The 14,984-nt window shown below is 41.4% G+C and overlaps 1 protein-coding gene and 1 pseudogene across 1 annotated transcript in view; one reads left to right on the top strand and one right to left on the bottom strand.

Annotated features, from left to right (window-relative positions):
- FGD6 (FYVE, RhoGEF and PH domain containing 6) overlaps positions 1–14,984 on the top strand; it is a 140,719-nt gene that overhangs the window by 115,261 nt on the left and 10,474 nt on the right. The window contains exons 15-18 of the mRNA NM_018351.4: positions 7,513–7,615; positions 9,362–9,508; positions 10,398–10,500; positions 12,511–12,638. Of these exons, the coding sequence (NP_060821.3) occupies positions 7,513–7,615; positions 9,362–9,508; positions 10,398–10,500; positions 12,511–12,638 (481 nt within the window). The remainder of the gene's footprint in view (positions 1–7,512; positions 7,616–9,361; positions 9,509–10,397; positions 10,501–12,510; positions 12,639–14,984) is intronic.
- LOC100287148 (peroxiredoxin 6 pseudogene) lies at positions 1,159–1,681 on the bottom strand (annotated as a pseudogene).

Genomic DNA, 14,984 nt, shown 5'->3' with positions numbered 1-14,984 from the left:
CTCCCAAAGTGCTGGGATTACAGGCGTGAGTCACCACGTCTGGCCATCTTTTTTAATTTTAAGATAGAGATGACCTTTCACCATATTGGCCAGGCTGGTCTTGAACTCCTGACCTCAGGTGATCCACCCCCACTCAGCCTCCCAAAGTGCTACAGGCAGGATTGTGTTCAGCCCTTTTTTCGTTTTTGAGGGATAGAGGAGTTTGAACAAAAGTTCAGAGAACAAGGCCGGTGCTAAGTGGCTCATGCCTGTAATCCCAGCACTTTGGGAGGCCGAGGCGGGTGGATCACAAAATCAGGAGATCGAGACCATCCTGGCCAACGTGGGGAAACCCCGTCTCTACTAAAAATACAAAAATTAGCCGGGTGTGGTGGCGCTTATCTGTAGTCCCAGCTACTCGGGAGACTGAGGCAGGAGAATTGCTTGAACCCAGGAAGTGGAGGTTGCAGTGAGCCGAGATCGCACCACTGCACTCCAACCTGGCAACAGAGTGAGGCTCCATCTCAAAAAAAAAAAAAAAAAAAAGAAAGTTCAAAGAACATTAAGACCATGTATATCATGTTCCCAGTGAGTGCTTGAGCTTGGTTCTTAAAATCAAGAGGTTATTTTCAAAATTCCAAGGCAGAAATGCCTATAGAAAAGTCAAGTTTTAATTGCACTTCTATTTCCCAAGTAAAAATGAGCCTTGGTGAAAAACAGTAATCTATTTTATTAAGATTAAATCATTCAAGAAATTATAGTGAATGTTTCTTTCCTTGGTTGTTAGGTGAATATCTGGATGTTCATGATTTCCAGATCAGTACCAGACAGGTGTAATGAACAGCTCTGATCAAGATTTATATTTCTGTGACTTTTTTCTTTTTTGTGACAGAGTCTCGCTCTGTTGCCCAGGAGTGCAGTGACGCGATCTTGGCTCACTGCAACCTCCACCTCCCGGGTTCGAGCAATTCTTCTGCCCTAGCCTTCCGAGTCACTGGGACTACAGGGGTGCGCCGCCATGCCCGGCTAATTTTTTTTTTTTTTTTGTATTTTTAGTAGAGATGGGGTTTCACCATGTTGGCCAGGCTGGTCTTGAACTCCTGACCTCAAGTGATCCACTCACCTTGGCCTCCCAAAGTGCTGGGATTACAGCCGTGAGCCACCATGCCCAGCAACATAACTATTTCCATTCTTCTTATCAATCAAGGTGGCAACCTCTCTTCCGCTGTCAGCTGGAGAGAGATAACTACCCCGTGAATCTCATCCAAGTTCCTGCCAGTGGTAGCTGGGTAGACAGCTTCAGTTTCTTGTCAGGAGCAAAAATAAACACCATAAGCTCTGACACCCATTCCCTTTTCTTCCAACTCAGGAGGATCCAGCATGCCCAACAAGACGGCAAGGTCCTGATCCTTACCATCAATGTTGGGAAAAGGGCATTTTTCTGTTCGCTCATCACTATTGTAAGCATTGATATCCTTGCTCCAGGCAAGATGGTCCTCAGCACTGTCTGTTGCAAGGGCAGTCAACTTCACATTGCTCTTGGTGAATTCTGGTGCCAGCTTTGCAGCTCTGCCAAGCTCCATAGTGCACACTGGTTTAGAGTCCCAAGGGTGGGAAAAAAGAATGCCACAGGAGTCTCCTAGAAAGTCGTGGGAACAGATACAGCCAACAGTGCGATTAGCCTCCGAGTTGGGAGCCTTGTGGATGGCAGCAGTAGTGACATGGTGGGCGAGACAGTGTAGCCACGGCAGCAAGCAGCCAGCTGGTCTGGGCAGTCCTGTTTGTGCTTTTGTTAGTAGTCTGGGGCTTAGTGATAAGCAGTGATAACTGAGAGCAATCATTGCTGAGTCAAACTAACTTTAGTGATGAGAGAAAGTCATTGTTTGGAGACTGGCATATGGAGAGCTATGAGGGAAGGCGATTGTCTGCTATCAACCATTAACAAATGTTTACTGGGCATCACCTACCCTGTCCAGGAGCTGGGGGTGTGCAATCCCTGTCCTTAAGGATAAGCTTTTATTCTAAAGTGGGAGATACATAATAATCAGGTTTATTTATATCTATGCACATAGAAATAATTTGGAGTATTCAATGTTATAAAGAAGAATAAAGTAGGCTGAGCAGATAGAAAGTGATGAGGTCAAGAACTTATATGGGGTGGGGGGGGGGGGGATCAGAAAAGTTATCTCTGAGGAGCATCAGAGACCAGAAGCAAATCCCAGATGGAAGGAACAGCAGGAACAAAAGACATACCAGGGAGGCAGGAAAGGGTATAGTATGTTAAAGAAACAGCAAGAATTCCAATATAGGTAGAGCCTAGTACTCCGGGGAGAGCCTAGTACTCCCCTAGTACCAGGGGAGATTAAATGTGAGTTACAGTTTAGGGGCAAGAGTTAGGGGCCACCCATAGTAAGGTCATTGAATTTTTAAGAGTTTTCAGCTAAGTGATAATATCTAATTTATGTTTGTGAAAGATCACACCGGCTTCTTTGTAGAAGACAGACCATCAGGAGACTACAGTAGAAGTTGGGCAGCCAGGTAGTGAGTGCCCAGCAGATGATGGTGTGTCTTGGGTTAAAGTGATGAACAATGGTATGAATCAGAAAAAAACCCAATAGGATTACTAATGGGCTGAATGTGGGCTCTGCAGGGGAAATCATTGAACTGAAAAGTTCTTGATAAAGGAAAAATAAATTTCCAAGGGAGGATCAAGCTGGCATGAGGGAAAGAGAGCTAAGGCATATTGAATGTCATCGGTATGCCATGCTCTCCTTCCAGATTCCTCCAACCAGTTAGGCAGGTACTGCATCCCATATTAAAGTGGGTAAGGAGTCTCTCCATCTCTTCCCACCAACACACTGCATGCTCCATCAGCACGGATCTGCGTGTGACTCCATGCATGCCAGACAACTCCACAGCCATCTGCCTTCCACAGGTGTTACCTCCACCTGCAGTTCATCCCTTCGTTCAGTAAGGAATATGGAGCCTCTACCTTGGGCCAGGCATTGTGCTGCGCATCGGGACACAGTGGATTAAAAATTAAAAGGGTCAAGTCAGGTGCAGTGGCTCACGCCTATAATCCCAACACTTTCAGAGGCCAAGGCAGGCGGACCACTTAAGGTCAGGAGTTCAAGACCAGCCTGGCCAACATGGTGAAACCCCGTTTAATATTTTACATTAAAATATAAAAATTAGCTGGGCATAGTGGCACACGCCTGTAATCCCAGCTACTCTGGAGGCTGAGGCAGGAGAATTGCTTGAACTTGGGAGGCAGAAGTTACAGTGAGCCGAGATCGCACCACTACACTCCAACCTAGGCAACAGAGCGAGACTCCGTCTCAAAAAAAAAAAAAAAAAAAATTAAAAGGGCCCTTCCTTCACTGAGCTGACATTCCATGGAGGAGGACACGCACTTAGCAAATATTAACACAATTAAGTATTGTGGTGATTAAATGGTGCACAGAAAAAGTACCAGGGGCTAGGAGGCTGTAAAGCAAAGGACCTTAAACTGCAATGGGGGAGAGAGGGCAGCCTCTTTCCTACAAACCCTGCTGTTTATATTGACTTAGGAAAGATAAGTAGGAGTCAGAGGGGCAAAGAGGAAAAAGGAAGAGCCTCCTGGTCATTAGGAGCACTGTGTACAAAGGTCCTTAGGTGAGAAGGGGCATGACATATTCAGAGAATTGGAAGGTCAGTGTGGCACGAGCTCAAGAATGAGGAAGAGAATGACCCAGGATAAGCCTGGAGGGACAGGTGACTTAGATGGTGCAGAACCATCTTGTGGGATTTGGTCTTTAGCCTAAGAGCCACAGGAAACCGCTGAAAGGCTTATACAAGGGAATGATGTGATCAGATTGGCATTTTTTAAAGAGTATCCGGCTGCTGCATGGAATCTGGTTTGGGAGGTGGCCTAAAGGAGGGGACTGATTGGACACAGGGTATAAGAGGAGTTCTTCAGAGGAGACTCCAGCATATACTATGAATTGGGAGATGGTGCCATGCACTGTGACAGGGAGCACTGGGAGAGGAACAGCTTTAGGGGAGAAATTGGGAGTTGAGTTTCAGGTGTGCATATGGAATGTGAGGTGCATATGCAACATCCAAATGCAGCCATCAAGGGGCAGTTTCTGTAAGGATCTGGATTTCAGAGGGAAGTAGGGGCCAGAGACATATATTTGGGCACCATTAGCTTAGAGATGACCACGGCTGGCAGACTGAATGAGGGTACACAGAGAGTTCCCTGCCAAACTCCTGTAACTCTTTAAGTCCTAACTTTGTCATCACCTTTGCAGAGCCATCCCTGCTACTTACATAAGGTAATTTACTACTTCTATGTTATTTATCTACATTTGTCATATCATATGTTAATACATGTTTCACCTCAATTCAGTGTGCATCCTTACAAGTGAGGTATATTTTGTGTGCCCAGTTCTTGGCTTAGGTCCTGGCTTAGTAGGCTCCCAGTGAATGTTACTCACAGCGTTACTCACAAATCAAAGTGATGTGGCCTTTGAACCTCAGAGAAGCATCCTGCAGTTAGTCCATGTAGTAAATGGTGTGGCATGGTCTTTTTTTTTTTTTTTTTTTTTTTTTGAGACAGAGTCTCACTTGTTGCCCAGGCTGGAGTGCAGTGGCACAATCTCAGCTCACTGCAACCACCACCTCCCAGGTTCAGGTGATTCTCCTGCCTCAGCCTCCTGAGTAGCAATGACTACAGGTGCGCACCGCCATGCCTGGCTAATTTTTGTATTTTTAGTAGAGACAGGGTTTTCACATGTTGGCCAGGCTGGTCTCGAACTCCTGACGTCAGGTGATCCACCCTCCTCGGCCTCCCAAAGTGCTGGGATTACGGGCATGAGCCACCACGCCCGGCCAGGTTTTTAACCCTTGGCAATTCATCCCAGTCATTGGGAAAGTGGTACTTACTTGACACAAATTTGCTTTCTTGTACTATACACATTCTATAAAGAAAATAATACTTGACTTAACAGTTTTTCAGTTTGAAGAAGATGCTGATTCTTCTGCTAATCATGTTACAAAAGGAGACTAGAATATCTCCACTGGATGCTGCGGGCAAATGTGTGTGGTCTGTGAGAAATGTGTTATCAAGAGCTGGTAAACATTGTCTTGGCAGAACCCCACACAGGAGAGAGCCAGGAATGATTAAATGAAAGAACAGCATATGTGACATGATTTACACAGTTGAATCACATTCCACATGCTCCCCGGGCTCCAGAAGAATCCAACAGCAATTCTCAAATTTACCATCTGCCTCTCTGCTTTCTGTTACTCTTCTGGTGAGGAGCCGGGGAGGGAGGGAGAGATGGTAATGTTTTATGAATGTTTGCTTGGAACCCTGAGCATGTATTCTCATCATGTAGTTCTGCAGAGAACATGAGCAGAGGCTAGCAATGACCTGGTGGTGAGAGGTCCAGTCCTTAACTACACTTGGGTTTAATAACAGCTCATCACTTAGTCTGTTGTCTATAAAGCAAATTATCAAACATTACTAATTCTCAGTTTCCTTACCTGTAAATGGTGAAGGTGGGTGATGATGTTGTAGTTGGGGGCAAGGGGTGTAAGATCCAATGTGTATTCCATGGGGAAGCTCTGAGGGTGAGACATGGTGACATTTGCTAAGCATTTAGCAGAGTTGGCTGACGTAGTAACTGTTAAATGGCATCTTGTTTTGGCAGTAATGCTAGAATAGTAGCGGTAAATAAGGCAGGGTTTTGTTTGGTTTAGAGAGAAAGAGATTATTTCTTTTTTGCTGTTCTTTGTATGTAATGAAAATTTGAGAAATTAATTTGATTTAAAATTTTATTTGTAAAGTGGATCTCTACCTTTTTTAATCCACATGAATGAACATTCTAAATGGCACTCAAGCCATGGATTAGGGAGGCGCTTTCTGAGAATGATGATTGTAGGGAAGGTGAGTGGTTTCTATTCTTGATCTGACCTGGGTTCTCTAAAATACAGCAACATATGTCTATATGTACCATTATTAATGGTGGAATTTTTTATTTTAGAAACACTCTTTAAGAGTTCAAATATACTTAAAGTTAGGGCAAATAATACCAGAAACTGTATATTCAGGCACCCAAACTAAAAATAATCATCAAGATTTTGCCACTGATTTTCCTGTTTCATAATTTTCTATTTTAAAACAAATTGCAGATATCAGGTCATTTTACTTCTGCTTTTTTTTTTTTTGGAGACAGTGTGTTGCTCTGTCACCCAGGCTGGAGTGCAGTGGCACTGTCTCGGCTCACTACAACCTCCACCTCCTTGGTTCAAGCAATTCTCCTGCCTCAGCCCCCTGAGTAGCTGGGATTACAGGCATGCACCACCACACCCGGCTAACTTTTGTATTTTTAGTAGAGACAGGGTTTCACCATGTTGGCCATGCTGGTCTCGAACTCCTGAGCTCAAATGATCCACCCGCCTTAGCCTCCCAAAGTGTTGGGATTACAGGCGTGAGCCACCACGCCTGGCCGATTTTACTTCTGTATACCTCAAAATGCCTCTGTAAATTAAACTACAGACTTTTTTTTTTAACACAGTCACAATCCCATTCTGATGAATTTTGTTTTATTATGATGGAGTTTTAATTATTTATTAAAGTCTTTCTTTCTCTCATTCCCTCTCCCTTCCTCTTTTCTGCTCTTTCTGTACTGTGTATGTATAGATTTATATATTTATTTTTATTTATAATACCTAACATGTGCCTCTCAGTTTTAAATATACAAAACAAAATTTAAACAGTGGTTTCATAAGTATGCTGATACCAGTAATGATTTGGAGTTAACATGGTTTTGGGAAAAAGGCATGGTTGGAAAAACAGAAAAAAAAAATACCCTTGTCTGACCAAGTTTGCCCCTATTTGGCCCATTCCCATCTAGCGCTGAATTAAAGATACCTCCTGATGAGCTGGGTAGGGACAGAGAACTTGGTGGGTGAAATAGGTAGAGAAGCCCTAACAAAAACTGCAGCCTTTACCGTGTGAACCTCATTGTCAACATCTGCTTTCTAATACAAAAAAATATGTTCCCTTCACCCCAGTGCCCTTCCTAGAAAATTTTAGTAATCCTTAGTAATCTAAAGATATTTAGTATTCTATGCTATAAATTGGAATTTGAAACTTGACTTATTGGAATGTTTTTAAATTCTAGGATGATGTCTTAAGAAACTCCCTGGCTATATAAATAATCATAATTATTAATTGTACAATTATCCTTTAAACCAAACCAAAAATATTTTCAAGTTTAGGAGAGTTCAAAAGCTATTTAATATAAAGCAGAACTTTTGGAAAGAAAAAATAAGCATTGTATTTGCTAAAATGCCATCACGGGTTCTCTGTTGTCTGTTCTGATGATCTGTTCACTAAACCTGCCTCAACTCTGAGGAGTTGCTACTTTTTTGACTGGTATTGTTGGAGGGTGGTGGGATCTGTTGCCATGGGAGAAAGAAAAGAAGAAAAAGGAAAAGAACAAAAACTGACATCTGGTTGATGAAACCTTTTGCCCCCAACAGTTCTGCCACAGAAAGGGATGAATGGCTAGAAGCGATTTCCAGGGCAATAGAAGAGTATGCCAAGAAAAGAATCACCTTCTGTCCTAGTAGGAGTCTTGATGAGGTATTGTTTTCTCCTTTTTTTTTTTTTTCCAGTGCATTTCAAAGTTTTTACCTTAAACATTTCACAGGGGTTTAAGAAAGCAACATGTGTTTCAGAAAATGATTGGACTGGACATCAGAGAGTTACTCTACAGATTAATGTCTCATTTCAGCGCTAAAAGTTTATCCTCCTATTGTTGTCTCACTGCAAGTCTGTGATAGCATATAGCATATTCATGTTTCTTCCCAGCTATAAAACTTCATTGTAGGAAATTTAGAAAATACGAAACAGTTTAAGGCAGAAACTAATCAGCTGCCATCCCACTACCACAGGCGTCTTTTTAAGTTAATTTTGTATTAGAAAATTTTTAGATTGTAGCTAAACTTAGTATTCCGAGCACGTGAAAAATATAATAGCCCATATTTCTTTTCTTTTTCTTTCTTTTTTTTTTTTGAGACAGAATTTCACTCTTATTGCCCAGGCTGGAGTGCAATGGCGCAAACTCAGCTCACTGCAACCTCTGCCTCCTGGGTTCAAGTGGTTCTCCTGCCTCAGCCTCCCTAGCAGCTGGGATTACAGGCATGCACCACCACGCCCAGCTAATTTTGTATTTTTAGTACAGATGGGGTTTCACCATGTTGGCCAAGCAGGTCTCAAACTCCTGACCTCTGGTTTTCCGCCTGCCTCGGCCTTCCAAAGTGCTGAGATTACAGGCATGAGCCACTGTGCCTGGCCAATAGCCCATATTTCTTTTTTTTTTTTGTTGAGATGGAGTATTGCTCTGTCGCCAGGCTGGAGTGCAGTGGTGCAATCTCGGCTCACTGCAACCTCTGCCTCCCAGATTTAAGTGATTCTCCTGCCTCAGCCTCCCAAGTAGCTGGGACTACAGGCACGTGCCACCATGACCAGCTAATTTTTGTATTTTTTTTTTTTTTTGAGACAGAGTTTTGCTCTTATTGCCCAGGCTAGAGTGCAATGGCACAATCTCGGCTCACCACAACCTCCGCCTCCCAGGTTCAAGCAATTCTCCTGCTTCAGTCTCCTGAGTAGCTGGGATTACAGGCATGCGCCACCATGCTAATTGTCGTTATTTTTAGTAGAGACAGGGTTTCTCCATGTTGGTCAGGCTGGTCTTGAACTCCCAATCTTAGGTGATCCACCCGCCTCGGCCTCCCAAAGTGCTGGTATTACAGGCGTGAGCCACCGCGCCTGGCAATTTTTGTATTTTTAGTAGAGACAGGTTTTCACCATGTTGACCAGGATGGTCTTCATCTCCTGACCTTGTGATCTGCCCACCTTGGCCTCTCAAAGTGCTGGGACTACAGGCGTGAGCCACCATGCCCAGCCAATGGCCCATATTTTATCCCCATCTTTTTTGTTTGTTTGTTTTTTGAGACGGAGTCCCACTCTGTTGCCCAGGCTGGAGTGCAGTGGGACAATCTCAGCTCATTGCAACCTCCACCTCCCAGGTTCAAGTAATTCTCCTGCCTCAGCCTCCTGAGTAGCTGGGATCACAGGCACCCGCCACCACACCCGGCTAATTTTTGTATTTTTAGTAGAAACAGGGTTTCACTGTGTTGGCCAGGCTGGTCGCAAACTCCGTACCTCATGTGATCCACTCGACTCGGCCTCCCAAAATGCTGGGATTACAGGCGTGAGCTGCTGTGCCTGACCCTCATCCCCATCTTGGTAGTGTGAGATGCCACTGCCGAATAAAAAGGCAGGCAGTGTGCATGGAGATAATCAGAAGTTGTTCTTCTTCCACAGGCAGACTCAGAAAATAAAGAAGAAGTTAGTCCTCTTGGATCGAAGGCTCCCATCTGGATTCCTGATACCAGAGCCACAATGTGTATGATCTGCACAAGCGAATTCACTCTCACCTGGAGACGACACCACTGCCGGGCCTGTGGAAAGGTTGGCGATGATAACACCCATCTCCATTGTGGTCTTTACTGTCTCCAGGCTGTACATAGTGAGGAAGCATATTTCCCCTCATAAACCATTATAGTTCAAGAATAACAATAACTATTATTATTATTATGTTAATGGTAGCAAACATGAATGGTGTTTTCTCTAAATATTTAGGGGGCAGGGGCAATCTTCTTAGTGAACTTCCACCCTCCTACTTCAGAGTTACATTAGAACATCAGTAATAACTGATTCAAAAACAAAATCTAACAAATCCACAATTAAACAGGCCCTCACATTTACAGCTATTATTTAAACTGCATCTCTCTAGTACTAAGTATCCATAGTATTCAGTACGGGGAATGTTCAGTGTTGAAGTTATCTCTAGTGATGTTTCTAAGCCTTCATGATCTCATTAGTAAAATGGGTGTAGAAACAGTGACATCAGAGAGTCACTCTAAAAATTAAATGAGGTTGTATTTAGAGAGCATTTAGTATGGAGCCCAAAAACTTGGTAGAGTTGCAGAGACGTGGTCGTTGCTGCAGCAGTGATTATGATGATGACAGTGCTGGTGATCAGTATACCTCACAGGCCTTTTTGCATGCCAGGTACGGTTCTAAGCATTTTGCATATATTAACTGCTTTACTTTATTATTTTATGTAGTCAGCCCTCTGTAAGTAATCATCTGTGGCCCCTTCATCTTTCAAGTGTGGTACTATGCATTAGTTCACTATATGCCTGAACTCCAGAGTTATTATTGAGACGAAGTGAGACTCAGTGACTCTGAAACTGTTTTGAAAAGTGGATAGCACTGTAAATTGTAACATACTTTATGGTGTAGAAACACAAGTTATTCTAATGAAATTAATGACATAATTCCAATGTGTTTTCAGATTGTATGCCAAGCTTGTTCGTCTAATAAGTATGGCTTAGATTACCTGAAAAATCAACCAGCAAGAGTATGTGAACATTGTTTCCAAGAACTGCAGAAATTAGGTAATATATAAGTAAGGATTTAACCAAAAATTCCTTTATTCCCCAGATGCTTTCAAACAACCTTCTGAGAGAAACACCTTCGGTACATTAGCAATATGATTGTTGATACTTATCTCCAAATTTGTAGTAAGCTTTCTTAATTCATATTTTGTTGTAATTCTGGGAGAGGTTGGGCTGAAATTTGGTTTCAGTCTGTGTAAAAGGTTTTGCTAAGAAAACTGTAGAAATGTAATTACAGGGTAAAACACTTAAAACAGTAAAAGGGAACTTTAACTTTCAAGTAATTTTGAAGTCTATAGTTTCACATGATAGTGTGCTCATTACAAATCATTTTATCTATATGTAAAGTAATTCTCTTTACTTAGGTGGCACTTCGTTAGCTTAATTCTAGTCAGTTAATCTGATTTAGTGAGATGTTAATGTACATCTGAATGTGCAGCTTTTTGACCGAACACAAAAATGATACTTCCTATTTCCCTGCTCATTATTTGCAGGTATCCTCCAGTAAAATGAATGCAGCTTAGCAGGACTGCTCAGGTCTATGTTTTGGGAAGAGATTTTTAGTTAAATTCCTGAAACCTGTAGGATCTAAATTTTATTTATATATATTTTTTGAGATGGGGTCTTGCACTGTTGCCCAAGCTGGAGTGCAGTGACACAATATGCAACCTCTGCCTCTCGGGTTCAAGCGATTCTCGTACCTCAGCCTCCTGAGTAGCTGGGATTACGGGCACGCGTGACCACGCCAGGCTAATTTTTGTATTTTAGTAGAGACGCGGGGCGGTCTCACCATGTTGGCCAAGCTGGTCTCGAACCCCTGACCTCAAATGATCCACCCGCCTCAGCCTCCCAAAGTGCTGGGATTACAGGCATAAGGCACCACGCCTGGCCAGGATCTAAATTTTTGAAAGTCTGTTCTTCATTTCCCTGAAGGATAGCTTTTCATTAGCAAGGAGGAATTTCTAAGTGGATGACATGGTATTTCAGAGTCCACATATTTCTAGATGAATAATTTATTATTATTTGTGTACATTTTCCAAGAAGACCCATCCATCTCTTCCTTTATGTTCCTCTCTTTAGTCTGGGTATATGGTATAAGCTGCAAACATTCAAAATTCGTCTTTGAATTCTCCTTCCTCATCACCTATACCCATTTGGTCAGTAACTCTTGTCAATTTTATCATCAAAAATCTTTGTCTTGATTTCTCCATCCCAGCCCTAATAAGGCCTTCGTTATCTCTCATCTAGACAACTATAATAATTTCCTAACAAGTTTTCTTGCTGTTAGTCCTTTCTCCTTAGTACTGCCAGATATAATCTATTTTTCCAAATTTAATCTGCTCATGTCACTCCCCAGCCTAAAACATATAAACAACAGTCCAGTTTGCTTCAAACCAGCCCCTTTTTTTTAATCTGGCCTCATTATTCTCCAGATAGATGATTTAATTTCATACCTCTCTGCCTTTGCTCATGCTGACCTCTTAGCGCACAGTGTTCCTCCTGCTTGTTTTAACCTGGCAAATTCCTACTTACTCCATCATGGCCAGCTTTTATCTTATTATCTTCTCAGCTTTCCCTGAACCCTCTGCAATCAGAATTCATTACTTCTTCATCCGTGTCCGATAGCCCCCTTTTTTAAGCTGCTTTGTTCATTGTAGCTGGTCTAGTATCTAGACACTTAACAATACCAGGGTTCTTTGGGGTTTACGGCAGTAGGGAAGGTTTTTTGGATTTTTTTTAAGTTGGTAGTATAGTCACGTGTTTCATAATTCTAAAGGCACACAAGAGTAATCCTTTCACATAAAGTTCAAAAAGTATAAAACCATAGATAGTAGAAAGTCTTCCTGCCACTCAACTCCCAGCCATCCATTGTCCTTTTCCAGGAGTTATCAATGTTGTTTCTTAGTGTCCTTCCATGGATATTTTATGCAACAGTGTTTATGGATTTGAATGAAATTGAATTGCAAAATGCTGAGCATTGCCTACATAAGCATGCCTGATTTGTTCTAGATCACCAGCACTCCCCTAGGATTGGATCTCCTGGAAATCACAAATCTCCTTCAAGTGCCTTATCATCAGTCTTACATAGCATTCCATCAGGGAGGAAACAGAAAAAAATCCCAGCTGCTCTCAAAGAAGTAAGTGTTTCCATTAAATTTGCAATGTGATAGAGGCTGAATTATTCATATGCATATAATACACCGTTTTTCTTTCATAAAGGAAGATGTCATTTCCCACAACTATTAAGTCATGAATTTTAATACTGATGATGGATGTGGCTGATGCCTCACAATCTTGCTTGGTCTCCCGTCTGACCTAAGTCATTTAGAAAATGGCTATTGAAAGGTTTAGAGAACATTTAATAGCAGTGATAGAAAGTAAAGATAAGTTGGACACACATGAATTTTTTAAAATGACTTTGAGCAAGATCCTTGCCAGAGGGAAGAAGTCCACAGGATATTTTGGGCATTTTGTTAGCATTTAGTGATCTGCACGGTTTATTTGTAGGCATTGGTTGGTTATGCACAGCTGATATCACTGATAGTAGGTTGTCTTTCCTTTAAACTTCCTTTAAAAGAAAACTTTAAATAGTGATAATAGCCTGTATGCTTAGACCTGCTAATGGTGTAATCCACAGACTTTGTTGATATCCTATCCCATTTCCTCAAATTTAGATGTCAAAGAACAAACAGCATTGCCATTTTGGCTACTCCGTTATGATCAGTTTATTAGTGAGGTCCGCCTGTGCTAGTTTTGTGGCCAGCAGAGTAGTTTTTAATTTGGTTCTCTTGCTTTTTTACTGAGGAGGTGTTCTAGCATACATAGTGGAAGGAAAGAACTCTAAAAATTTGATCAAGATCATGTTTCTTATGTAAAGTTACGAGTATATTCCCAGTTGAAACACAGTGTTTTAGAGGTTCATGGAAATTACAGCACGTATCCATACTTCGTTTCTTGTTATGTCTGAATAATATTTCATTGTTTGTGTATACCACAGTTTATCCACCCATCTCTTGTTGAATATTGGGTTGTTTCCACCTTTTGGCTATTACGAATTATGCTGACAGAAATATTCATGTGCAAATTTCTGTGTGGACATATGTTTTCATTTATCTTGGGTTTATACCCAGAAGTAGAATTGCTTGCTCATATGGTAATTCTATGTTTAACTTTTTGAGGAACTGGGAAGTTGTGTTCTTATTCTAGTAATGTTTAAAATATTTTTAGAAACTCCTCTTTTTAGAATTACATTTAGAGCCTCAGTACTCTCAGTAATGGCAGACTACAGCTTTTGAGTTGGAGTTGGATTATTTTTTTTTAATTTTCATTGCTTCTGGGGTACCTGTGGGTTTTGGTTACATGGATGAGTTGTATAATGGTAAAGTCTAAGATTTTAGTGCACCCATCACCTGAGCAGTATACAGTGTACCCAAAATGTAGTTTTATAGTCCCTCACCCCCACAACCCTGATTTATTTTGTAAATAATCAAATCATTGGAAGACATGTTTTGTGGATCAGTTAGGTGATTAAGTTGGTGAACACCAGTTTTATCTTTGAAAATATAGGTCTAGTCATGGCTATTCAGTATTATGGTTGATCTTCTTGTGTGGCTACTAAACTGGTCCTAAATTGGTATAAAGGAGAAATGTAATATATTTTGAGCAACATTAATAACAACTTAGATAAGAATATAGTAGGATTCCAATGTAACTATATTTTAAGCAAAATCTCATTTGAATGTTAAACATTCTAGTTGGATTTTTTTCCTCTTTTTTTTCACTGAGATAGGAAACAATTCTAGTTTTTTAAAAAATTACTTGGTAGTCTTTATAAGGATGTATTTATATAAACCTACTGTTGCTTAACAAATATTTCTAATTTAATGTTAGATCTTAAATTTCCCACTAAACAATATATAATTATTTTCATGAAATTTATAAGAAATTAATATAATTAAAGATACACTTTAAAAATTCACAGAGCGCATGTGTATTAGTTTTCCATTTCTGCATAATAAATTACCACAAACTTAGCAGCTTAAAACAACATACATTTATTATCTCCAGAGTCCAGGCATGGGTTAGCTGGGACTCTGCAGGGCTATAATCAAAGTTTTGGCAAGTACTGAGTTCTCATCTAGAGGCTCATCTGGGAATTCATTTCCTTGTACTTGCAAGACTGGGGGCCTTGCCTTCTTACTAGCTTTTGGCTGGAGGTCCTCAGCTCCTTGCCATGTGGACCTCTCAACATTGCTACTTTGTTCAAAGCCAGCAAGGAAGAAAGTTTCTAGAGTGTCTCCTAACAAGACAGGGCCATATATAAGGTAGCTTGATCATGGGAGTGACATCCTATCACCCTCACCAAATTCTTAGTTAGAAGCAAGTCGTAGGTCCTGTCCACACTCAGGGGGAGGAGAATGTACAGCAGTGTGACTCTCTACAGCAAGGGTCATGGGAAGCCACCTTAAGCGTGTGCCTGCCAT

This window comes from Homo sapiens, chromosome 12, assembly GCF_000001405.40.
Source record: "Homo sapiens chromosome 12, GRCh38.p14 Primary Assembly".
Classification (NCBI taxonomy): domain Eukaryota; kingdom Metazoa; phylum Chordata; class Mammalia; order Primates; family Hominidae; genus Homo; species Homo sapiens.
The sequence above is the reverse complement of the archived record's forward strand: the minus strand, read 5'-3'. Positions and strand labels throughout refer to the sequence as shown.